General features: G+C 50.4%; 1 protein-coding gene across 11 annotated transcripts in view, besides 5 other annotated features; it reads right to left on the bottom strand.

Moving 5' to 3' along the window:
- WSCD1 (WSC domain containing 1) overlaps nt 1-25,511 on the bottom strand; it is a 55,312-nt gene that overhangs the window by 15,410 nt on the left and 14,391 nt on the right. For 9 of the 11 annotated variants that reach the window (NM_001388408.1, NM_001388405.1, NM_001388407.1 and 6 more), the window contains 3 exons: nt 20,914-21,028; nt 18,513-18,697; nt 13,795-13,916 (listed from right to left, as the gene is read on the bottom strand). In NM_001388408.1, the coding sequence (NP_001375337.1) occupies nt 13,795-13,916; nt 18,513-18,697; nt 20,914-20,951 (345 nt within the window). In that variant the 5' untranslated portion in view covers nt 20,952-21,028. Of the gene's footprint in view, nt 1-6,394; nt 9,430-13,794; nt 13,917-18,512; nt 18,698-20,913; nt 21,029-25,511 lie in introns of those variants that run through there. The other 2 variants (NM_001388411.1, NM_001388410.1) reach the window with 1 other exon arrangement.
- Nucleotides 518-690: a silencer, noted in NCBI's record as "fragment chr17:6011648-6011820 (GRCh37/hg19 assembly coordinates)". NCBI's record gives its function as "represses an EF-1alpha promoter that drives an FKBP-Casp9 reporter gene in an ReSE screen in HepG2 liver carcinoma cells {active_cell/tissue: HepG2}" and the evidence as "EXISTENCE:reporter gene assay evidence [ECO:0000049][PMID:32094911]".
- Nucleotides 9,890-10,657: an enhancer, noted in NCBI's record as "H3K27ac-H3K4me1 hESC enhancer chr17:6001681-6002448 (GRCh37/hg19 assembly coordinates)". NCBI's record gives its function as "activates a minimal SCP1, AML or CMV promoter by ChIP-STARR-seq in naive H9 embryonic stem cells {active_cell/tissue: H9 hESC(naive)}" and the evidence as "EXISTENCE:reporter gene assay evidence [ECO:0000049][PMID:30033119]".
- Nucleotides 11,291-12,189: an enhancer, noted in NCBI's record as "H3K27ac-H3K4me1 hESC enhancer chr17:6000149-6001047 (GRCh37/hg19 assembly coordinates)". NCBI's record gives its function as "activates a minimal SCP1, AML or CMV promoter by ChIP-STARR-seq in primed H9 embryonic stem cells {active_cell/tissue: H9 hESC(primed)}" and the evidence as "EXISTENCE:reporter gene assay evidence [ECO:0000049][PMID:30033119]".
- Nucleotides 12,190-13,090: an enhancer, noted in NCBI's record as "H3K27ac-H3K4me1 hESC enhancer chr17:5999248-6000148 (GRCh37/hg19 assembly coordinates)". NCBI's record gives its function as "activates a minimal SCP1, AML or CMV promoter by ChIP-STARR-seq in primed H9 embryonic stem cells {active_cell/tissue: H9 hESC(primed)}" and the evidence as "EXISTENCE:reporter gene assay evidence [ECO:0000049][PMID:30033119]".
- Nucleotides 21,421-22,112: an enhancer, noted in NCBI's record as "H3K27ac-H3K4me1 hESC enhancer chr17:5990226-5990917 (GRCh37/hg19 assembly coordinates)". NCBI's record gives its function as "activates a minimal SCP1, AML or CMV promoter by ChIP-STARR-seq in naive H9 embryonic stem cells {active_cell/tissue: H9 hESC(naive)}" and the evidence as "EXISTENCE:reporter gene assay evidence [ECO:0000049][PMID:30033119]".

Raw genomic sequence — 25,511 nt, 5'->3', positions numbered from 1 at the left:
CAGATGTCCCACTGCAGGGTGCAGAGATTCTCATACAGTCATCTTTCCAAAGATGGAAGGGGTGGAGAAGAACAGACTTTGTTCCCACCCAAGATGCTCAGCCCAAGGAGGATTCTTCAAAATGGAGGGGGGCCCTGTCAGGGGTAGGAGAGAGGAGTCGTCTCACTCTGTGGGCCAGCCCAGCTCCCAGCAGTCTCTTAAGTGGGTCCTTGTTCCCCTTTGGGGAGGCTGCACCACACACTGAAGAGAGCTGGCATCCTGAAGGTGTGAAAGTGAATTCTAGCTCGCTTGCTAGGCACCCTTGAGCAAGGTGCCTAACTTCTTTGAATTTCATCACTGAAAAAAGTAATAAAATCTGCCTTGTAGGTTTAAGGTGAGGGCTGAATGAGACAGGTCCAAAGTGCCCAGCACCGGGCCTGGCATGCTTCCAAGGAGGAAGAGGTCATTCTCGACCTCCCTAACTCTCTGGGCATCAGCTGTGTCTTGCTCAAAAATGTATCCACCCACCTCTCCCACATGTATGGGAGAGTCCTCACTCTGCCCCAGGCACTAGCCCCTTTTCATCTCTTCCTTCTCTGCATCCTACAGTCGGGAGATGCTAGGACTTTTGGAGCGTAGAGAGATGAGAGAGTAATCTGTGAGTGTGTGTGCCAGGGAGGGAGGCAGTGGGTGGAGAAAACTTCTCACTGCTAAGGGGAACACTGCACAAACCTTTTTATTTTTTGCTCACAGCAAAAATCTCATAAATAAATAAGAAAAAGAAAATCAATAGCATTTTTTGAGCATGGCTAGGTAAAGCTGAGGATTTGGGCACTCATAAAAGACAACAGCCTGTGTCCCATGCAAGCGAAGATGACGCAGGGCCTGGGGCATTGGCGGGAGGGCAGGTATCTTTGGAGGGAGTCAGGGGAAATGCTGTTGGAGGTTGCCCCCCACTGTCAGGCTGTTCTTATAAGTACAGGCCGCATGCTCTCCTAGGTGCCAAGCAGCCCCCAAGGAAAGCCTCTCCCGACTCTCCTCGTCCTTCTTCAAGCCAAGGAGGCACCTGCGCTGTGAGTCAGTGCATGATAGGCTATTGAGCCTCGGTAGTACGTCCAACTAGACCCATCCTCACGGCCCCTACACCACTCTTCTATGGAAAGCGAGAGCTGGGGCCTGACCCTCAATCTCAACACTGCTGGCTTTTCCAGAAGCAAGTTTCCCCGGTCATGTGAATTCATGAAAGGCAACTTCAAGAATTGCCACCTCCGGCCTCTACAGCTTCATCCACCCTCTATCACAAAACCCTCATCCCACCTCATTCCACACCAACACCTTCATCACAGGGAGCAGCAGAAACAAGCAGCCCGGATGTCCACGGCACACGGCGGCCCATCTGTGTCTCAGGTACCTCTGTCCATGCTGGCTGCTATGGGCTGAACTGTGTCCCCCAAATTCATATGTTGAAGTCCTAACCCCAGGGCCTTAGAATGGGACCTTATTTGGATGTAGGATCTTTTTTTTTTCTTCTCCTTTTTGAGACAGAGTCTCACTCTGTTGCACAGGCTGGAGTGCTGTGGCAGGATCTTGGCTCACTGCAACCTCTGCCTCCCGGGTTCAAGCGATTGTCCTACCTCAGCCTCCTGAATAGCCGGGATTACAGGTAGCCACCACCATGCCTGGCTACTTTTTGTATTTTTAGTAGAGATGGGGTTTCACCACGTTGGCCAGTCTGGTCTTGAACTCCTGACCTCAGATGATCTGCCCGCCTCAGCCTCCCAAAGTGCTGGGATTACAGAGATAATTAAGTTCAAATGAGGCCATCAGGGTAGGCCCTAATCTAATACGACAAAGGTCCTTACAAGAAGAGGAGGTTAGGATACAGCCAACACACAGACCAAGGGACAAGCACACAAGGACACAGTAAGAAGGCTTCCATCTGCAAGCCAAGTGGGGAGGCCTCGGAAGAAACCAACCCTGCTGAGACCTTGATCTCAGACTTTCAGCTTCCAGAATGAGAAAATAAATGTCTGTTGTTTACACTGCCCAGTCTGTGGCACGCTCTCATAGCAGCCAAGTTGATGAATGCAGTGGTTTCCTTGCTGTTCCCTGACTTCTCCACTCATGATCCCACCTCAGGGCCTTTGCACTTGCTGTTCCCCCTGCCAGGAATGCCCTTCACCCAGATACCCTCATAGCTCTCTCCCTCACTTTCTTCAAGTCACCTTCTCTGTGGGGCCTTCCCTGGCCACCCCCTTTTCAAGTTGCAAACCCTTCCCACCATCACCACCACATGCTATTCCCTCACCATGCTTTACAGTTTTGTGTACTAACCTATCTGATGACATGCTCTGATCCCAGGTGTACCATTCAATCAAGACAGGCAGCACATCGGTGACACCGGAGGCCCCTCTCCCCATTCACCATCCTCCTTCCCTCCCCAGAGCAACCACCTTTCAGATTTCTATCACCATGGATTCGTTTTATCTATACTGGAATGTCATATAAATAGAATCACCCAGCACATGTTTTTTGTGTGCCTGGCTTCTTTCATTCAGAAAAACATTTGTCAAATCCATTCATGTTGTTATCTGTGTCTGTGGATCATTCCTTTTTCATTGCTGTGTAGTATTCCATCCAAGAATGCACTGGTTTGTTGATTCATCCACTAGTGATTGACACCTGGGCTGTTCCCGGTTTTTAGCTATTGTGAATAATGCTCCTCTGAACATTCTTGTGCAAGCCTTTGGTCCAAAAAAGTTTGCATTTCTCATGGGTAAACACCTATGATTCCTACTTCCTTTTCCTCCATGACACAGATCACCATACAACATACTATATAATTTACTTACCTGGTTGGTTGTCTGCCTCTTTCCACAAGAACATAAGCAGGGTTGTTGTGTTTTTTGTGTGCTTTGTTATATTCTCAGAATCTAGAAAAGTGCCTTGCACATGGCAGATGCTCAATAAATGTTTGATGAATGAAGAAATGAATGAATGAGTGAATGAATGAAGAAGCAAATGAATGTCCCTTCCAAATCCCAATTGCACCAGAAGCTGCTGGAAACTAACTTGAGTCTGATTTTTCTGCTGGTCATTGGGTTAACTGCACCACAGGCATGAGGGAAAAGAAAAGCCGCTATCTCTAAGCAAATCTTCCCCATATCAGAAAGCCCAGAGGGGGCTCTGCTGTCCTGGGATTCCTGTTCCGAGGAAAAAAAATCCACCAGCATGGTAAATCTACTCAAGGCACGCTGGCTCCGTCTCCCTTCCCAGCAGTAACAGCCCCACTGACGTTGATGCCCCACAATCTTATATCCCAGGACTGGAGAATGGGCTGCCCCCAGCAGTGACCCGAACCTTTTTGCTTCCTTGAGTGGATTAAACTGTCAAGTTTCCGGGTGTTTGCAGAGCGACAGGAGAGCTGCAGACAGTAATGTGGTTTTATTTACAACATCACCGCTCCAGCAACATCACTGGATTCTGAAAACACAGTACAATTTTCAGCCCCTTGGGGATTTCTAGGACATGATTTCCATAAAAATTAAATATTGATGAATCTTATCTCTCTGCCAACTTCCCTGCTTCTCGCACCCTACCCTATGCTTCAGTGAGAGAGAGAAAGGGTGCTTCAGTGAGAGAAAGAAGAGGAAAAAAGGATCCAAGAATACAAGGCAAAAAAAGAAAGTGAGAAGATAGATTTGGGATTGTTTCAATCAGACAGGTGAGGGGTTAAAGAAAGAGCTGGCTCAGCCTGTGTCCGAGGGCAGAAAGATATGCATCCTCATCCTGATCCTGCATCTACAGCCTGAGCCTGGGTCGGTCTGGACGCACGGCTAGTGCTGGGCTGGGCTGAGGTATGGGTGGGCATTCAGCCTAGAGCAAGGTCATGACTCAGCAAGGGCAGGGCTCTGAGGCTGGCGGGGATCCACATGCGGGAGGCTTGGTCTGTGGCCACTAGGTCAAGGAGTGAACATTCCTCCAGGTAAGGAGCAAGGTTCCAGGCGGGACCTCTGTAACAAACCAGCCCCTCTCGGCATCATCTCCTCCATCTTCAGTCCTCCTTGAGCACTTTTCTAGGATCCCCAGGGTTACACAGAATGACAGAGATTTCAGGGATCACAGAAGGGGAAACTGAGGCTCGGAGGTAGGCAGTGAACAGCCCAGGATGCCCAGCCTGCCAGGTGAGTGGGAAAAGGAGCCAGCCTTCTGGACTCCAAGTCCAGGACCTTGCCACATCAACACAGCTCAACTCCTAAGAGGCAAATACATGGATGTGCTGGGTTTCCAGTGAAATCTGCAAACCAATATGGAGGTTAGCTCTGCCAGTCTCTTGCCTCCAGAGCAGTTCCCTTCACTCCAGAGGCAGATCTGGATATTCAAGGTACAAAAAGGAAAGAAGACACCCACAAAGATGACTTCAAGGACTGGGGACAAAGGGGACAGACTTTTGCTTTCAGGCATATGTCAGGTTGGCTGAAAACTTGTCCAGTGATGCTGTAACTGAGAATGGGGCCTTGTGATTTGGAGAGGCAGATGCTGGGAGTGGAACCAACACAAAGCTTGTCATCAGGAACTGTGGGCTTTGAATCCCATCCATGGACTGCCAACGAGCAACTGGGCATCTCTGAGCCTTGGCTTTATCATCTGTAAAAGGGCTTGCAGTTTAATGACTAAGGGCTCTCACAGAGTTTGGATGTGTGTCCCCTCCAAATCTCATACTGAAATGTGACCCCCAATGTTGGAGGTGGGGCCTGGTTGGAGGGGTTAGATCATAGGGGTGGGGATGCCTTATGAATGGCTTAGCACCATCCGCTTGGTAATGAATGAGGGAGTTCTTGCTCTCAGTTCACGGACAGCTGGTTGTTTATAGGAGCCTGGCACCTCCTCCCCATCTCTTGCTCCATCTCTCACCATGAGATATGCTGGCTCCCCCTTCACCTTCTACCATGATTGGAAGCTTCCTGAGGCCTCACCGGAAGCAGATGCTAGGGCCATACTTATGCAACTTGCAGAACCATGAGCCAAATAAGCCTCTTTTCTTTATAAATTACTCAGCCTCAGGTATTCCTTTATAGCAATGCAAATGGGCTAACACAGGCTCTGGAGTCTATAGGTGTGAGTTTAAATTTAGCTGAATTGAGTCTTGGTTCCTCCATCCATATGGTGGATCTGGGGATTGAAATACTCTTGAAGTGCCTTTCAGAGAGTAGACACTCAGTAAGCATGGATGGGCTGAGTCCAGGGGAGGCAAATGCATGGGGTCAGAGGCAGGGGCTTCCTCCCACCCCCACAGCATTCACTTTTCTCCACAAAAAGAGTACACTCACCAGTCCCCTTCTCCGTGCGCTGTAGCACACACTCTAAACAGAGGCTGCAATATCCACTCTATGCATATGAGAGCAGGCCAAGCATGATTGTTTGTGGCAAATGTCAGAGTGTCTCCAGGGGACCCTGTGGGATGTGGGATGTCTCCAGGGGCAGATGGCTCTCTGAAGACTTGAGCCCCAGACAGCAGACCTACTTAACCCACCAACCACCCCAGGTAACACCATCCCTATCAAAGCCAAACAAACATCCTTCAGACAGAAGAGTCTGTGAAACACAGTGTGACTCAGAACCGCCCAACCATTGGGATCCTAAGGTACCTGGCTTTCCACTGACCTGGGAAAGGACTGGCTCTTCATCCCAGGAAGTTTCTCAAACATCCCCCACACACTGAAAGAACTAGGGGACACTGAATAATCACAATGATCATAAGCATTGTCTGGAACACTTGCTACTCCAGACACACCCCAAAACATAAATCACAAAACTGTTCGTGCCCACAAAGTCACTGAATCCTCATCACAGTCTGGTGAGGCACTTTCATCTCCACCCATCCCATTTAGCAGACGAGAAAACTAAGGCTCTGTGTTATGTGACCTGGCCAGGATCACAAAATGAGAAAGTGGTGGAGTAGGAGTATGAACCCAGGTTACCACGACTCTAAAGCCCTTTTACCAGCTTCAGAAGGATGAGGCTAGAAGACACACTTCCCAAAATGTATAAAAAGTCTTAAAAGGGCTCATATAAAATGTACCTATCCTTTGCCCCAGCAATTCCTTATCTGCCAATATAGCCCAATGAAATACTTATGAATGGGCTCAAAGGTTTATTTTCAAGGATGTTTGTGGCAGCATTGTTTATAACAGCAATAAGGAAAAAGAAAAAAAAAGAAAGGAAATGGCCTAAATGTCCCTCAGGAGAGGACAGAATGCCAATAAGCGATAAGGCATAGCACGGTGAAAGAAAATGCTCACAACATATTCAATGAGAAAAAGGAACAAATGTGAGAAGGAATGAGTCAATGTTTATAAAACAAATTACGTAGAGATACACCTAGAACAAAAGACCAAAAAGATGTTCAATGTTATTAGTTGTTACAGGTGCATTCTATTTTTATTTCTGCACTTGGAAAATTTTCAAATTCTCTAAAATAGATATGTGTTAACCCCCCAGAAAAACAAACAATACGTGTTTTTCAAAATATGCAGAGAGTACAGTATCAACAGGTTTACCACAGACTTTTTATAAGCAATTCAAAGCATATCCAATAGCTCTTGGAATGACTACAGCATTTTGTCAAAGAGAAAATTCTTATTCTCAAGGCTCACAAAACCCAGACTCTTACAGACCCAACCATTGGCAAAGACATGAACTTGGGTGCCCCATGGAGACCATAAGGCTACCTTGGATAGACCGAATCTATTGGAATCCAAGTGGATTTTGCAAGAGCAGCTGCCCAGCTGAGAACAAACAGGTTCCATATTAATGCATGCTTTTCCATTTGAAAGGTGGCTAGATGAGCACCACCATTAAATGGCCAAACAAGCAAAAAAACTTAGAAGAAATGTCAATGGGAAAACATCCAGGTGATTAATGCGTAAAGAATTTAGACGCCCAAAAGAGGCTAAAAGAGGGGAAAAAGAAAGCTCAACACCTTTCTTCCTCCTCTCCCTGCGATTCCTTTATCAGTAGAATCACTAACAGCAGCTGGGAGAACAAACCTCACATCACAAGGTATAATCGCCGGTGGAGTGTCTCACATTAGTAACCTATTTGCAGATGGTGTTAGATTTCGCTCATCAGCCTCCTTTCGGAGCACCCCCACAAATGGCCTATCTACTTGAGCACAAATATCAGGCGACAAAACTAATTACCCCAGATCTGAATTGGTAGCAATGCAAATATCGAAGCTGCCCCCTGCTCACTCTTGCCTTGCGTTGAAACAAAGGAGCCGATAGGATCCTGAAGGGGACTGAGAATGAGCAGGTCTCTTTCCATCTCCATACGATCACAGGAAATTAGACAAGATCATTTCACTGGGCTTTAAAAACACATTACATTGGTCAATTCCCTCTTGCTGGCAGAGAGTCAGATCATTAAGATGCAGATATCACCTGGAATGTTCTTTTTCTGTCAAACTACACTCTTGGATCTCCCCAAATCCATTTTCGCGAACTAGCAAAAACAGTAGACATTTTATCTGGGGCCACAAATAAGCCTCAGATGGTGCTCAAAGGTGGGGGCACTACAAGGAACCCCCTCCTCTTTTCCTGTTTCCAAGCCCCACCTCTCACATCTGCTGCTCCCAGCCCCACTGCCCGGCCAGCTCTAATTAAGCCCCTAGCTTCCTACCCCCAGGCTCAGCTCTGCCCCATTTAACATTCTACTGTGAGCATTTTCCATCATCAAAGTCTTTGAAAACATTTTCAATGGTTGTATTATAGTCCACTGTATGGCCGTGGCATAATTTAACCATTCCCACATCATAGGACATTTGAGCTTGTTTTTCGGCCAAATTAGGATGAGATAAAGCTGCCACCGGGACTGCCAGGCAGCCTCCACACCACTGGCCTTTCCAGAGAGGACGTGCTTGGCACTTCAGAGCAGGCAAATACGGCCAGACATCCCCAGATTCACCTCTCTCGCCACCCTCAACATTCAGGAGGGAAGAGAGGATACCATTCCCTGCAAAGAGTTCTCTGGCCTCTGCAGGTCTGGGTCAGATCAACTTCCAAACAATTTCACATCCATCAGACCTCAATACTAGAGGGAGAATTTGCTTCTCCATCCTCACAATGGTTGGAAGAGACCATTGCTCCCCAGGATTCAGCCCCACGGGGATATGGGCCATGACTGGGCATGGCTGCCTGGCATCTTCAGGTGGCTCTCCAGGGCTGTGGTTCTCAACCAGGGGTGATTTTACCCTCCAGAGGACATACGGCAATGTGTGGGGACTGTGTGTCACAACTGAGGGAATATGGGCTGTTGGCATCTAGTGGGTAGAGGCTAGGGATGCTGCTAGATATCCTACAATGCACAGACAGATCCCAACATGAGTAATATCCAACCCCAAATGCCAACAGATCCAAGGCTGTGAACCCCTGCTCTAGAGTGAAGTCAGAATTCCAGCAAAACCCCTGCCAGGCATCTGCAGAGCTCAGAGCTGAGGGGCTAACAGTACAGACGGTTTGAGTTCAAGTTACACCCACATCCACGGGCGAGACAAGCGAGAATGGATGGACAATCTGGGAGCCAAAGGCTCGCTCCGTTGGGCAGATGGCGGTTTGACTTAAAGGCATGACATCCAGGGCACTGTTCTTGCCCTACCTGAAATCCCTAACTCCAGAACCAGGTCACAGGTCGACTTCTGTGGCAGCTTTGCCAAGGCATCTCTGAGGGTACCCCTGAGAAATGCTGTATCCCAGAAGGATCCAAGGAGAACTTCCCTCCCACATTGGACAGGTCAGCTGCCCCGCTCACCCACAAACCCATCCATGCCTCATCCTCCTCCCTGGGGGTTCCCACTCCTTCTTTCATGCCCCCACATCCTCTCTTGTGGATTCCAACCCTGTGGTGTCTCTTAGACCTACTCCCTTCTTTATTAGCTCTCATCCTCTCCGTGCTCCAGAACATCCTACCTGCAGCTATAAAGTGCCACACAAGCCATACCAGCCCCTCCCACCCACTGAAAAAAGTCTCAACCTTGAGGCAGGCATTCAAGCTATATGGCTCTGATGACTGGAGGGACACCAGGGTTCTTGGTCTCGTGCCGGTTTAGACATGGACACATGTGGGGTGATTTTAAGGAGTGAAAAGTTTAACAGGCAAGAAAGAAGGAAGGAAGAAGAAAACAGCTCCCCGTACAGAGACAGAGGGAGGGGGGATTTGAACAAAGAGAAAACCCCGTGTGCAGCGGAAAAGTGGCTGCTTATATTGGGATGCTGGAGGAAGCGGTGTCTGCGTTCCATAAGGCCCAGGGGATTGGTTTGACCAGGTGTGTCATTTACGTAGCCCTTGAAAAACCTGGCCCTCCCACCTTAGTCCTTTAATATGCAAATGCAGGTCATCATGATGTTCTGAACACATGGTGTTATCTGGAGGTGGCCATGACACTCGGTACACCTGGTAACAAGGAAAAGACAGTGGGAATCACCATATTGAGTGAACCCAGTTGCTCTCTTTTTTTTTTTGTTTTTGAGACAGAGTCTTGCTCTGTCGCCCAGGCTGGAGCGCGGTGGTGTGATCTCGGCTCACTGCAACCTCTGCCTCCTGGGTTCAAGCGATTCTCCTCCCTCAGTCTCCTGAGTAGCTAGGCCTACAGGCAGGCGCCACCACACCTGGCTAATTTTTGTATTTTTAGTAGAGACAGTGTTTCACCATGTTGGCCAGGATGGTCACAATCTCTTGAACTCATGATCCGCCCACCTCAGCCTCCCAAAGTGCAGGGATTACAGGCATGAGCCACCGTGCCTGGCCCTTTAAGCCGCCTTTTCTGTTAGAAAAGAGATGGTTTGGGGGTTGTTTCTTATTACAGGAAAATTTCCACCCAGAACCTTACTTTCTGCCTAAAATAACTTCTTAATAACTCTTGTATCACAAAGCCCTCTGCAATTTGTACCCCCTGACCTTTCACAGCCCCCCAAGTAACCCTGCACGCTGGGCCACCTGGGCTGCTTTCCTGCCACCTGGTTCCTGCTCAGCAGTTGCCTCTTCTTGGAACACACTCCTTAATCCCCTCAGCCACCTGCCAACACTGCCCCACATCCTCCAGTTCCAACCCTTCCCAAAAGTTGCAACCATCTTCCTTTCTCAGCCTCCTTCCAAGCCTTCTTCACCTTCTTCAGGCACTGCCCTTACTCTGCCACCAGTGAGAGTCACCTGCCCCTGGCTGTGCCCACCGTCTCAGCATTTGCGTTTTGCCAAGTCCCACTAAATATGCGCTGCCAATACCCACTTTAAACTTTAAAGCTGGAAATGATGACTCTGTTCCTCACAGCTGCAAATGTTGCAGCCCTAAACAATGGAACTCAGGAAACACCACCCTCCCAGTCCCATCTGACCACGCAGAGGCAGCCCGGATAAGGATCAGGTGTCAGCACTGGCTCCAGTGTTGTGAGTGCTGAGGACAGAGGCTGTTTCTGAGAAACCTGGATGCCCTTTCCATGTAGTTCTGACCCAAACAATTCACGACTGCTCCGGCCATAGCAGAGAAGGGAACTTGTCCTTGAAATGCGTTGTGAGGGGAGATGGACAAGGTGCTAATGTGTGATAGCACAAGACACCAAGAGCCTGCGTGTATCTTCTGGCACATGCTCCAGTGTGAAACTGCAGCAATCTGGATTTATGCCAGTAAATATGAAGGAAGGCTGAAAATACAAGTTGAAGAGTTATAAGCCTTTAAATTCTTGTCTGTAATCACAAATACAAACTCTCTGGACCAGCCGGGCACAGTGGCTCATGCTTGTAATCCCAGCACTTTGGGAGGCCAAGGAGGGCAGATTGCTTGAGCCCAGGAGTTCAAGACCAGTCTGGGCAACTTGGTGAGACCCCCCCCACCCCGCCCCCCTGTCTCTGCAAAAAATACACAAAAAAATTAGCTGGGCATGGTAGTGTGTGCCTGTAGTCACAGCTACTCAGGAGGCCAAGGTGGGAGGATCACTTGAGCCCAGGAGCCAGAGGCTACAGTGAGCTATGATCACACCACTGCACTCCAACCTGGGCATCAGAGCGGAACACTGTCTCAAAAAAAAAAAAAAAAGAAAGAACTCTCTGGGCCCTAATGAGGTACACAAAGGGAGGACCCCCAGAAAACTGAGGCATCTGCCTAAAATGCTGCTTTGAGCCCCCCAACACACACAAAATAAGGGTTACGAGGGTGCCTTGCCTCCCCCTCACACATCACTGATCGGGGTATAAAATGAATACAATCCTCGCCAAGGACAACCTGACAAAGTTTACCAAAATGATAAAGACACTCAGTCTTTGACCCAGCATCTCCAAGGAATATTTTTCTTACAGATTCACTCACACAAAGTGATCTACGTACATACACAGGTAGTCACTGCCGCATCGTTTGTGAAGGCTGGAAATAGGCGAAATGCTAAACTGGTTAAATAAATTATAGGACCTCCGTGCAATGGTAAAAAAGAATGAGAAAGCACTTTGTGTCGCGACGTGAGACAATCTCCGAGACAGGCTGTCCGGTGAAGAGTTCAGTGCAGAAGGGCGGGTGCAGCTCCTGCCCGGCTGCGGGGCTTGTTAGAGAATGGGCAAGGATGCAGTTGCTTGAATATTCAGTCTCTCTGGAAGTAGACATGAGAAGCCAGGACAATCCAGGCAAGGAAATGCATGGAGTGAGAGGAAGGCTTCCCTGCTATGCCCTTTGGCGTCTTCATTATGCTCCAAGTAAGCATGTTCCTATTTAAAACTAGTCCGAAACACTAATGGCTCATGGCCACAATGGCCACCCCTTTCTTTCCCTTCTCTTCCTCCTCATCTTCTCCGTCTCTTCCCCCTTCCATAACGCCGAATGGCAGCAGTGTGTAAAACCACGGGCTGTGTGTGGCGTCAGGAGCAAGGGCTGCAAAGCCGGCCGCTCTGTGCCAGTGTGTGGCTGTGTGTGGCATCAGGAGCAGGAGCTGCAAAGCCGGCCACTCTGTGCCTGTGTTTGAGGGCTCTCAGCTCTGCACACCTGCCCAGCCTCTCGCAGCAAGCAGGCATCTGAGTATCCCCCATTGGGAGCTACTGGGAGGATTAAAGCAGATAACCCCCCGCAGGAAGGCTCCTAGTGCCATGCCCAGCACACAGCAGGACTATCCAAGCTGGTTGCTCAAGGCAGGCCTGCCTCCAGCCTGGTCTGGACCACAGAGTTCCTTTGATTCCAACCAGAGGGCCTCTCAAGGGAACTGCTCTGAGCTGCAGGTGTGAGGGAAGCCCTAGGAGGGTGGCTCATTCTCCTGAGAGCACCAGCAGGGCCGGCAGCTGAGCGCGCATCCTTGCTGCCTCTACCCATCGCTCTGCTCCCATGAGGAGGAGAAGGGATGAGGAGGTCCCCAGGCCAGATGTCCGCAAATCAACAAACTGCCTTTTTGGCTCATTTAATTGTGTCGTGGGTGCCCTGATGCCCAAGACATCCTTGGCTGTGGCTTCGGAAATGCTGGTGACGCAGGAGAGCCACTTCAAAGGATGCACTTGGACAAGAAGAAAGCACATATGAAAGCCCCCTCCAGCCCCCTCCAAGGGAGGTGTCCAGCCCCCTTGTTCTCCAGCCCCCTCCAAGGGAGGTGTCCCCAGAGTGCGGAGGAACACATGAAGCAGGGAGAGCGGGAGTGGGGGGGTGCAGCAGAGGATGGCTGTGCTGCTCCTGCAGATCCGATCACATCTGCTGTCATTGAAGTCCACCCCTGCACCCTTCAACCCACAGCAGACTATGGAGCTACCTGAGTTCAAACCCTGACCCCACCACTTACTGGCTGTGTGACCTCAGGCACACGGCTCAAACCCTCTGCCTCAGTTTCCTCACCTGGAAAATGCAGATAATCACAGCACCTAGCTGTAGGGTTGTTAGGAGGATTAAATGAGTTAACCCATAAAGCGCTTGGAACAGTACCTGGCATGGAATGAGCGATCAACGAATGGCAGCTTCTGTTGATTGTCATAATCGTCATCATCATCCTGGCCAAGGCCATCCTCTCACCTTAGCCCTGTTCTATTACATTGCCAAGTATCAAAGCCACATTGAGGGTACAGCAATCCCAGCGCATGTGAAACAGCCCCAGCCCCAAGCCTACTGCCACCAAGGGCCATTTCTAGAGCCACAGCATCCACCCCAATCTGGAGTCTGCCTGACTCCAGCCCGAGATCTCAATGTTCTTTGGACACAGTCTGCTGGGTCTCCCCCAGCCTTGCTTCACACACTCCAGGCCCTGCTTTTTGCAAGCCACCTCTGGCCTTGACCAACTTTCCCCACCCCAGAGCTACCATGCAATGCGGGGTCAGTGGCCTTTGGTGCCTAGCCCTGCCCCTCCATGGGGTCACGCTCTACTCCTCAGCCCAGGCTAAACCAAAGATGCAAGTGTGGCTCCAGCCCCTGTCATCAGATTCACGGCCCAACACCGTCAGCACCAATAACAGAAAATCCATCAGCTATCCCCAAGTCCCGAGCCAGCATCTTCTGGCTTCCAAACCAAGTCAATTTAACATCTGACACTTGTGGCAAGAGTTCGCATCCAGAAAGGCACTCTCCTTTCGGCTTTACAAGCCTTGCTGACAATTCCCCACCCAGCCTCACATGGTGGACAGAGGCGAAGGGCTCCCTGCCGGCTCCCTCTGTGGTACCTGGTGCCTGCCTCCCATCCATGCCCCCTTCCTCTGCTCCCATCTGGACTGCCAGAGGGGACACCCGCAGCCCAGCACATGTGCCCCCCTCTCTCAGGACCACCACACACACTTAAAGGAAAGGGTTGTGAAATGATCACTTGGTCTTACTTTCTGGGAACAAAAGCCCGAGCAAGTCCCCACGGTCACATTGGCCTGTATCAGGGAGCTGGGGAAGGCATGTGTGATGTTCTCTGGCAGTCGGAAGCATCCGCGGTAGGTGGCGGTCCGCCCTGGGGGAAAAGAGAGGGGTTTCTGGTAAGAGATGGTGTCCAGTTGTTGGTGCCTGTCACCAGGGAAAATGCTGGCTTTAGGTCCTGAGACAGGTATAAATAAACTTACGAGGCGAGTTCAAATCAGGGAGGGAAAACGGCCCTGCATGGGACATAGTCATGCTGAGCTTCTGAGAGAAACCAGGCATCAGCACCTTGACCGTCCAGGGTCATCTACAAGGGACCACTTGGCTGAAACTGCAGCGCTCAGCTCTTGCTTCTGCCAGTTCTCCATAAGTCATTCCTTCCTCCCTTCCTCCCTCCCTTCCTCCCTTCCTTCCTTCCTTCTCTTGCTTCTGCCAGTTCTCCATTCCCTCCCTCCCTCCTTCCCTCCCTCCCTTTCTTCCTTCCTTCCCTCTCCCTTCCTTCCTTCCTTCCTTCCCTCTCTTGCTTCTGCCAGTTCTCCATAATGCCAGCCTTCCTGCCGGCCTGCCTACCTTCCTTCCTTCCTTCTCCTTCCTTCCTTCCTTCCTCCCTTCCTTCTCCTTCCTTTTCCTTCCTTCCTTCCTTCTTTCTTCCTTCCTTCAACAAATTTGGATGGTGCTTTTACTAGGTGCCAGATTCCTCCCATGGTAGGTGACCTGAGAGGCTGATATTGTGAAAAATTCAATGTCCTACCGGAAGATGCATTAAAAGAAAAGCAGACATGGAAATCTGAAACCCAGCCATGTTTGTTCTTGCTGTGCCGTTGGAGTCATACCACTGCTTTGCCTCTTTGCAAGGTTTGCCTCTCTCTGATCTTGAACTCCCACTCAATTTCTAGGAACTCCTCAAGCCCATGTTACAAAGAAGCCTCCTGCCAAGCCTCCTGCTGCTCTGTAGAGCCTCCAGGTGGAAAAGTCCAGTGCCCTAGCTGGCTTCCTTGGAGCTGAACAAACTTTCTGGAATGTTCTTGCACCAACTGCTCGTATTTCTTCCAGACTCATCAGGGTTTCTCTAGATGGCATCCTGATTATTACCCCATGCTCTTCTCTACACGGGGTCTCCCAGGGCTCAGTATCTCCCCTGGCTCTCTAGCTGCCACACCACGTGGTGCAAACAGAAACCCTTTTACCAGCCAGAATCTGCCAAGTAGGACCAAACCCTGGATCTGGAAGCCCATCTCAACTGACCACAGCACCTGTGGTGCACGTGTCAGGGCACGACCTATTAGGGCACAGACAACAGCCTAGTGTGGGGAAAACACCAGGGCTTAGGGTTATAAGTGCTTAGGTTCAAGTCCTTGCACTGCCAGTGACCAGCTCTGCAACTCTGCCATGTCTCGGGCTCAGACTCTCAATTTCCTCACCTACATACAGCGTAGTTCCTAGGGTTGTCATGAGGAACAATGTATACCCACGCACATCCCCTGATGGGGCCATGTCTCCCCACCACCGTGTGTCTGCCCTGGCTTTTGGTGTCAAGGTCGAGGGTGGTGGCAGGTGCTGGGCTCACAAAACTCTTTCCTGTTCTTTGGCATGATTGATGCCCCAAAGAACAAACATTTCAATGGACTGGGCACTGGTCCTCAACCAGCTCCACGGGGATAGAACAGACAATGGGGAGAGTCATCAGGGTAGGCACAATCCAGAGATGGGGGAGGGATCAAGATTTCAGCAAGCCCTGGGCCACAGGGAGGGACAAAAGGGGGCCATGAGGCCTCCAGAACACAGCTCCTGGGGGGAAGCTACATCCTGGGTGACCCCTGTGTTCCCCACACCAAGCCCTGATCCTGACACACAGCAGGTGCCCACTACGTGGTGAGCGAACGAATGAACTGAATGAGATAAAGCAGGAAGGCACTGCATATACTGCAACAGGTGAGTGGTCCATGAGCCGCTAAAGAAGGAAGTGTTGGCTGCCTCCGCACTTCACTGATGCGACTCTCAGGACACAGGTTGTCACCTGGTACAGTCCAGTCTCCCTCATTCCCCAGGTGGGAGCCTGAGGGTCACTTGGCAGAATGACGCCTCCAAGGCGAAGACGTTGATGACTTGCTCAGAACCCACTCCGATTCCAACCTGGGGAGCAAATTCATGGGTCTTACTCCTTGTGAATGCTCCTTGCTGGCAGAAGCTGCAGCTCACAATGGTGGTCACCTGGTCACCTCTTGAGAGAGATCCTGTCAGCTCATTCCCTCAGGAAGGGGGCAGGAAGGCAAAGGTACCTCACGGGGGGCTCCACAGCCTGCCCAAAGAGGCAGCTAGGACACCATCTTCAACACTAACCATGACAGCAAGTCCAGCCAACTCCGGATCTAGGGCTGGCTTGAATGATTGGACCATCTGTCTCTTAATCCATGGGCAACCTAAAGCAAAACAACTGCCTTTCAGAATCAATTACTGAGCAGGCAGATGGGGCTGGGAGGGCCGCCGGGAGTCCATATATAGAATTGGTCTTACTTGGGGGCAGGAATGTTGTTTGAAACCAAAGAAATAAAAGCTCCAAGAAGCCAGCGTGGAGCAGTTTGGTCCTCAGGAAGCCCGTTTGCATGTCCAGGTGACAGGATAGGACTGTGCCCACGTGCCATGGCAAACCCCTCTATGAGGTCAGGGCCTGGCAGAGTAGGTGTCGGTGAGACACTGCCAAGTTCATGGTGTCACTAGTGAACCTGTCAGCTAAACGATGTGTGGTCAGTTTCTCCGCCCCTGTCCCCATTGCCCCATCTGGACCCCTGAGCTCCCAGACACATCCTGTCTGAATGCAAGAGGCATCTAAGAAGCCCCGGTCAGCTGGGGTCAAACACGGAGCAGCTCTTCTGGGCACTGTGACCCCACAGACAGTTGCCAGCCAGGGTGGCCTTTAGGTTCACCCACGGTTCTCAGGGCTCGGCTTCTGTGCTGCTTGGAAAACTCACTCGACAGCCCTCCCCAGAACCCCTGTGAAGCCTTAGCTTTTGATCCAATACCTTTTTTTTTTTTTTTTTTTTGGAGACAGAGTCTCACTCTGTCGCCCAGGCTGGAGTACAATGGCATGATTTTGGCTCACTGCAACCTCCGCCTCCCGGGTTCAAGCGATTCTCCTGCCTCAGCCTCCTGAGTAGCTAGGATTACAGGCACCTGCCACCACATCCGGCAAATTTTGTATTTTTAGTAGAGACGGGTTTTCACCATGTTGGTCAGGCTGGTCTCGAACTCCTGACCTCATGATTCGCCCGCCTTGGCCTCCCAAAGTGCTGGGATTACAGGCGTGAGCCACCGCGCCCGGCTGTTCCAATACCTCTTTACCTGGGCTCTGCCCCATTCTTGAACTAATCCGTCAGCTCTCCTGGAGCCCTGTTACTAGGGCATGACCAGAGGCGGTGAGCCTGGACCCTGGGCTGTGCCTCTGCCTCCATCACCACTGTCCTACCCTTGCCAGTGGTGGGGGTGGTCTCCCAGGCTCTGACTCCTTCCCAATCTGCCTCTCCCAGCCATGAAAAGAATGGCCCCCAGCATGTGCAACAGTGCACAGCCCTATTATTTTACAAAGGAGCCTTCTGTGATTAGAGGAAGCGGATTTGTGCTCATCATCTTGCAGTGAGGACAAACCTGAGTTTCCCATTCCTCCTTTGAGCTGGGCCCCTTCAGGGTCCAATTCCTTACCCTGAGAAGCCCAAGGCCTCCTTCCCTATCCTGCTTGGACATTAAGACCCAAACAGAGTGGCCATGCAGCCTGGCGACTTCCCTCCGCTGAGCCCCACGGCCACACAGCCTATCTCTAACTCTCTCCACTGTGGGTCTTTGTTCTTTCTTCATTTTTGGATCCAAGGGATTGCCTTACTTTTCTGCTAGTTCAGCTATGCATTTACAATAATGTTTGCTAAATTTTATGCAGCATTTCTAGGTGCTTTATAGTTAGGGAATTTTCTGATTATCTAGCTCACACCACTGCTAGAAATCTAGGTCTCCTGGATGGGTGCGTGGCTCACGCCTGTAATCCCAGCACTCTGGGAGGCCGAGACAGGCAGATCACCTGAGGTCAGTAATTCAAGACCAGCCTGGCCAATGTGGTGAAACCCCGTCTCTACTAAAAATACAAAAAACATTAGCCGGGTGTGGTGGCAGGTGCCTGTAATCCTAGCTCCTCGGGAGGCTGAGGCAGGAGAATTGTTTGAACCGGAGAGGTGGGGGTTGCAGTGAGCCGAGATTGGGCCATTGCATTCTAGCCTGGCCTGGGTGACAGAGTGAGACTCTGTCTCAAAAATAAAAAATCAAATATAAAAATTAAAAAAAAGAAAGAAATCTAGGTCTCCCTCTGCAATTTACAAAATAGACCGTAGCTCAGAGAGGGGCAGTGAGCTGCCGGAGGCCACACAGCATGTCTGAGGCATACCCAGGCCCCCTAATCAGTTTCTCTCTCCTGCAGGGGACAGGCAAAGGTATGCTTCAGTCATGAACTCAAGCAGTTAAGCCTTCGATGGATCCTAACCCCATCCCTGCCCTGCCAGGAGCCTGTCCAGTGATGGCAATAGGGAAGGGAGGGCAGAGGTTGGCACAGGTTCTGCCCCAGGTAGTTTCATTGAGAGGTTGTGGGGGATGGGCAGCCAGAGCGGGTGGGACAGACGGACAAAGCTCAGGAAGAGGCTGGCACACTCACGCTTCCTGGAGCCCGGCTGCAGCTCGTCCACACGGTACACGGAGAGCCGGTCCACAGCCCCGCACACAGAGCCCTTCTCGCCTTTGCACTCATGGTTACACTCTTCCAGCCCCACGCTCACCGCTGGCAGCCGGTTCCCGCAGTAACACTCCGCCCCGGCCTCCAAGCCGGCGTAGACATAGGACCTGCAGGGAGGAGGCCTGGGTGAGTCCGGACCTTGGCCCAGAGCTAGGGCTGCGGTCTAAACTGCAGACTGTTTCAGCTTGATGTAGATTAGAAAGTATGTTTTTTTTTTGTTTTTTGTTTTAATTATACTTTAAGTTTTAGGGTACATGTGCACAACGTGCAGGTTAGTTACATATGTATACATGTGCCGTAAGGACCTTGTCTTTTCTTTCTCCAGCCTCAGATTCTCCATCTGTATAAGAGGGATAACTCCTTGCTACCTGGCAGACTGTGGAGAGGATTTATGTGGGTCATGCAATGGCAACTGAGTCTGGAGTCAGGAAACGGACTGGACTTGAAGCTGAGTTTGGGTCTAGGTGAACAGACAGGGGCCACAGCCATCGGCCTATGGCTGGCCTTAGGAATCAGTCTCTAGCCAGACTCAAGGGCCACCAGGCTAAGTTCAGGCAACAGTCTTTCCTTTGTGATAAACGAATGGAACCAGCCCCGTTGGTCCCTCTTGCCAGCCCTGAGCTCTGCCCTGCAGAGTGCCGTGGTTACAGGTTATAATGGGTCTAAATCTGTGATGTGCCTGTAAGCTGGTTCTCAGTATGCGACAGGGAGAGCTCTGGTTTGTACTGTTTGCCAATTTCTGTGATGTAAACACTCCCACTATAGGAGATTTTAAGCTCCCAATGGTTTTAGAACGGGCTCACAACAACTCTAAACATTTAACAGCTTCCCATGGTGAGCGGCCGTGAGCTGGTCTGAAGTGCCTGCCACGTGTCACATCTTGTTACACATGGGCCCTACTGCACAGCCCCCATCTCCACAGCCATTTCTCTACTTACTTTGACCTAGTAATACCGTAGGTAAAGAAAGGTTGGAAACAGAACCCTCAATGAATCACACAGGACTTCAGCTACAGAAAGCAGTCAACACTTTCAAATCAGTGGATTTAGATGTGAAAAGCCCAGACTGAAAATCCAAACACAAGCTTCAAGTCCCCATTTGACCACGTCCTGGCGGTGAGACCCTGAACATGACTTACCATCTCTGAGTCTCAGTTTCCTGATCTATTAGGAGACTAAAAAGAGAATGTATCATCCTGTTTCCACCGTATCTAGACCATAACGTATGTTTATGTAAGGACCTTGTCTTTTCTTTCTCCAGCGTCAGTTTCTCCATCTGTAAAATGGGGATAACTAATTGCTACCTGGCTGACTATGGAAAGAATTTATGTGACATAACAAAGGTGAGGCCGGGTGTGGTGGCTCACGCCTGTAATCCCAGTACTTTGGGAGGCTGAGGCGGGCAGATCATGAGGTCAGGAGATTGAGACCATCCTGGCTAACACAGTGAAACCCCATCTCTACTAAAAATACAAAAAATTAGCCGGGCGTGGTGGTGGGCGCCTGTAGTCCCAGCTACTCGGGAGGCTGAGGCAGGCGAATGGCGTGAACCCAGGAGGTGGAGCTTGCAGTGAGTGGAGATCGCGCCACTGCACTCCAGCCTGGGCAACAGAGCGAGACTCCGTCTCAAAAAAAAAAAAAAGGTGAAAAAAATCTGTGGGAGAAATAAGTGAAGAGGGAAGTCTGATTCTGTTTAACCCACCTCTCTCAGATGTGTGTGTGTGTGTGTGTGCAGCACACACAGACACACAGTCAGTTGTGAGGGCCTTGACATTAGGAACCATTTCCCTGGCACATGACAAGTGTCTGGCAACTACTGGGTGAGCTGGAAGTATCAGAAAAAGTAAACCTTGTTATAGACACAAGGTGAAAATACTTTTCCTACCAGAGCTGGAAAGATCCTCTCAGAGAAATCTCAGTTAAAGCCCTTTATCTTATTGTAAAATATATAAGTAAACTGAGGCCCAGAGAAGGAAAAGAACTCATCAAAGTCACACGCTGAGTCCCTGCTATGGCTGGACTGGAAGTCGCATCTCCCTGCACCCAGCACCAGCACCCAAGCTCCCAGCACCCAGGTCATCACCCAACTCCCAGCACCCAGGCGGTCACCCAGCTCTCAGCACCCAGGCCATCACCCAGCACCCAGCTCCCGGCACCCAGGTCATCTGCCAACAAACTTCCTTTCTTCTGGAAAACTGGGATCTGAGCAGTGAGTTCCAATTATGCTATGACAGCCAACTGGTAGCTGATATGCCTCCTCATTCTGGAACTGTCCCTGGACCTTCCTGCCTCTAGAATCAACAGTCCAGGGCCCCAGCACTCACCGCTCAGCACACGCATCCTGGCAGTGGGAGACAGTCATCTTTCTCAAGTCATAAAACACAGCTCCTTTCAGAGTCCTCTCGTGGCCATCGTCACTGAAGCATCCAATGTAGGTGCCTGCAGAAAGGGAAGCATGGCTAATACCAGAGGCCCAGGAATCATGGGCCCACCCTTAGGAAAAGCCAGGGGAACCTCTGCCTTCCTGGCCAAGGCCACTCTCAGAGAAACCCGGGAGATGAGTGCTGCAGGCTACCTCCCTCCCACTCAGTGCTGAGCAAAGTGAGCATCTGACACCTCCCACTTGTTTGTTTCCTGCCCATTTTCTCTTTTTTAATGGCCCACTGTCCACCCTGACGGCTCTGCCAGGAGCCAGGCGTCGGCCTGACCACTGCTTTCTTCCACTACCCCAACTCAGAAGTTGGGAAGGCTGGATTACCTCTCATGGACTCTACCCCTCCTCTCTAGCCCTGCCCTCCCTGGGCTCAGAGAGGCCTCTCTACCTTGGCAAATGCCCTGAGAGACAGGGTCGTTGCCTCCTTGGGGGCCAGAGAGAAGAAATCAGTTAGGGCAAGTTTGATTTTAGCAAATTTAAGGAAGATCTTTCAAACGGGGAAAGCTATTTCAAGATAAAGTCTGTCGTCCCAAGAGGGAGTAAGACCCCATCTCTGGAGTGTGTCCGCAGAGTCTGTTAAGAATGGGAGCAAGTGTCCTGTGTGGGAAACAACAGGGCCAAGTGACCGCAGAGGCCTCTCCAGGCTGGTCACCTGCACACATCCCTGGAAGGGGATACTGGGGACACTCATGCTGCAGTGAGAAGCCAGCCGTGCACGCGCCAGTGAGAGTCTGTCACAGCCCTGCCCTGCCACCCCGAGGGAGGGAGACATCTCCCAGAGATGCACAGAGAAGTTGGGAGATGGCAGTCCTGATGCAAACGCGGGTAGGCATGTAAATGTCACGCGCACCAGTGTTTTGAAGGAGCGGCATGGGAATTTGCAAACACGCCGTCACACAGTCCCCAAGCCGTGAACGCACACCCACAATAGCTGCGCCGAGATCTGGATCGGGCACCTGTGATAAACACGCTGCACGTCTCCCCAGGAAGGGCCGCGTTCCGCTCATTCATGTCACCTGGGGAGCGCACCACTGCCTCCAGAGAAATTAGGCTGTCTCTGGGAAGTAACATGCCCAGGACCTCCCAGCAGCCTGCCAGTGGCTCCCAAGCGGCTTTTTAGTGAGGAGAAAAGTCCTGATGGTCCACAGGCCTGGATGCTCCGTGAGGGCAAGGGAGACTGTCTCTGTTCCTGCCAAGAGCCTGGTCCAGGGCAGCGGCTGGGGGAGTGGGGCCACTGCTGAGTGGCCTAGGGGAGGAAGTCTGCCAACCATCCACTTCTGGGCCTGAATCGGGGAGTGACTTTTCTTTGTACTTAGCAGAGAGCCTAAATACAAAGAAGGGGGCCAGGTGCTGTGGCTCACACCTATAATGCCAGCACTTTGGGAGGCCGGGGCGGGTGGATCACTTGAGATCAGGAGTTCGAGACCAGCCTGGTCAACATGGTGAAACCCCGTCTCTACTAAAAATACAAAAAATATATACATACCAAAAATTAGCTGGATGTGGTAGCACACACCTGTAATCCCAGCTACTCCAGAGGCTGAGGCAGGAGAATCACTTGAACCTAGGAGGTGGAGGTTGCAGTGAGCTGGGATCATGCCACTGCACTCCAGCCTGGGTGACAGAGCAAGACTCTGTCTGAATATATATATATGAATGAACAATTATAGTACTATTTATTATCCATGGGGACTAGCAGTAATGCATGAAGTACATAAGTATATATATATATATATATATATATGAAGTCAGGACGGTCTTACTGACTGCACCAAGGTGCAATATCCAGGGCCCCAGGTTAAGGCAAAGCAGAGGAGAACAAGCGAGATGGCAGGAGACAGGACTCCCCACCACACCAAGACCCAAGGGACCCAGGAGACCCTCGGACCACAGAACCCCAGGGCTGAGGAGGGAACAACGGCCACCTTCTCCAGTGTTTGCCAAAGGGTCTGGTTCCCAGCCAGGCTCTGAGCCTCTTGAGGTCACCTTCATCTGGGGACGCCCATCAGCACACATGGCCACGCCCACAGGCACATGCTACTGCCCTCCACTGCCCAGACATCCAGTCCCACGTGCATCTCTCTACTTCTGTAAGTCTCAGGTCCACCGCCACCAGCACGGACCACTGCACAGAGCTTTCACCCGGGTCAGTGAGAATGGATCCTTCTCCTCTGCCTGCCTACTTAGTAAAAGAAAACTAATATTTGAGAAATTTCTGATGGGTTGCTCAGCAAAGAAGTTCCATTTCAGCTTTCAATTAAACAGCCAAAGCATAAGCTCAGGATTATTAAACATTTATCATTGTAGATGGGAAATTAACCACAAGGTTTTCAAGGTGCTTGGGCTCAAGACCTTCCCAGACTGAGACTGCACGTGGCTGTACATGCTTCCCAGGCTGTACATGCTTCTGAGGAAGTGGATGGAGACAGCCTTTGGGAATAGGCTCCACCACTATCTGGCTGTGCAAGCTGGGATGTGCAGCTGCCTCTCTCTGAGCCTCAACTTCCCCATCTATAAAATGGGGATACGGTTCCAATTCCATGAGGTAGTTGTGAAAATTCCATAAGGTAACACATGTAAAATGTCTAATACAAGGCTTGGCATGCAGTAATTACTCAGCAGCGATTGTTTTTACTGTTAATATATTGTTATTAATAATGAAAACATTTAAATTACTTTTCTTCCCAGAAACTCAAATTCTTCATCATTAAAACAGTGATAGCGGCACTTACATCATAAGGCTGTTTGAAGATTAAATTAAATGAGATAACAGATGTATGTCTATACAATACAATGCTTGGCACATAACAGATGTCCAAATAAATAACAGCCATTATTATTCTGATCCTACACTCTAACCTGGGACGTGTGATGGATGGATCAGTAAATATTAGCTGAATAATTAACACGTTAATAAAAGAGAGAAAAAAAATTGTTTCAAGCAGTCAGGCTCTGGTTCTTCTGGAAACAGGGAGTGGCCCACCTGTGACCAGCTGGCCATTTGATGGAGCTCACCGGCGTGGAGGGCGAGCCCGGGCCTGGCTGGCCCCGTCTCAGTGTGCGACGGGGATAAAAGAGGAGGCGAGCTCTTTTATCTGGACGCAGAATGAACAGCTTTTCTAACTCCCCGACAGAGGCGAGAATGTTCAGGAAAGAAAGAACTTCCGAGGGATACACTGGGACCCACTCTGAGGCGGATTTATTCCTTTCAGCTGAAATGGAGGCATTGCATTATTGTCTGTCACTCTGCATCTGTTCATTTGCACATCAAAATGGACATACCGTGAGGCTAGTAACGACGGCTTTGAAGATATTGGAATGTCTTTGGAAATTACTATCAATAAAAAACAAACTGGCTATGGAGAAGTTACTATTTTTCCCCTAGTAAACTTACAGACATTTTATTCCATTATGGATGTTGTCCAAGGTATAATGAAATGCTCAGTGATTGATGGAGCCTCCTGCAGCTTCCGCGCCTTACAGGATCCCCTTTCAGGAGGATGGCGGGCTGCCCGGGCCACAAAGAGACACCCGCTTTGTTTGAGGCCCCAGCAGCTGTCCTGAGGGCTGGGCTGCAGGCTACTCTCCACCAGTGAGGCCGGACTGGCTGTGCTTGGCCCATGGAGCCCCACGACAGGAAGGGGCCCACAGGGATTGCAGGCCAGCACCCTGCCTTCCCCCATTCTCTGATGACCATGAGAGCACAGCCTCCCCAGACTTGGTTGTTTTGCTGTTCAAAGGAGAGCAAATTCTTCCTTCGGTCCTGGCACACATTCACAATACTTGACAACCTATGGAGGGCACTGACCATTCAGAATTGCCACCATTTGGCACTGGAATCACATTAACCCTCTCTTTGCTGGATAAGGGGGAGGTCTGGGAGCCACTGGGGAGGCAGCCAGAGTGTAGATGGCACCCCAGCGGCCCAGGGCAGCAACCATTTACCAGCCAACCTGGAAGTATTATAATTATTTTAACAACTGATAAGACCATAGTGGTATATAAATTTGGATATCAGTCCTGCTTATATCTAGCCACAATCTCTCTAGCTTTTACTAGAGCCCCTTCCATCACTTCTGTAAGTCATTAGGGGTAACTTAAAGTAAAGGGGGGCTCACTGGTTCCCTGAGACATATACACTCTGCAGTCAGGGCTGAGCCCTCCCCTCTGCTGGTCACTTCTATTTTTATTTTTATTATTATTATATATATTTTTTGAGACAGGGTCTTGCTCTGTCGCCCAGGCTGGAGTGCAGTGGCGCGATCTCGGCTCACTGCAACCTCTGCCTCCTGGGTTCAAGCGATTCTCCTGCCTCAGCCTCCCAAGTAGCTGGAATTACAGGCACGTGCCACCACGCCTGGCTAATTTTTGTATTTTTAGTAGAGACAGGGTTTCACCATGTTGGCCAGGCTGGTCTCAAACTCCTAGTCTCAGGTGATCCGCCTGCCTCGGCTGGGCGTGGTGGCTCACGCCTGTAATCCTAGCGCT

This window comes from Homo sapiens, chromosome 17 (genome assembly GCF_000001405.40).
Source record: "Homo sapiens chromosome 17, GRCh38.p14 Primary Assembly".
In the NCBI taxonomy this organism is placed as follows: Eukaryota; Metazoa; Chordata; class Mammalia; order Primates; family Hominidae; genus Homo; species Homo sapiens.
This window is presented reverse-complemented; position numbering and strand designations above follow the sequence as displayed.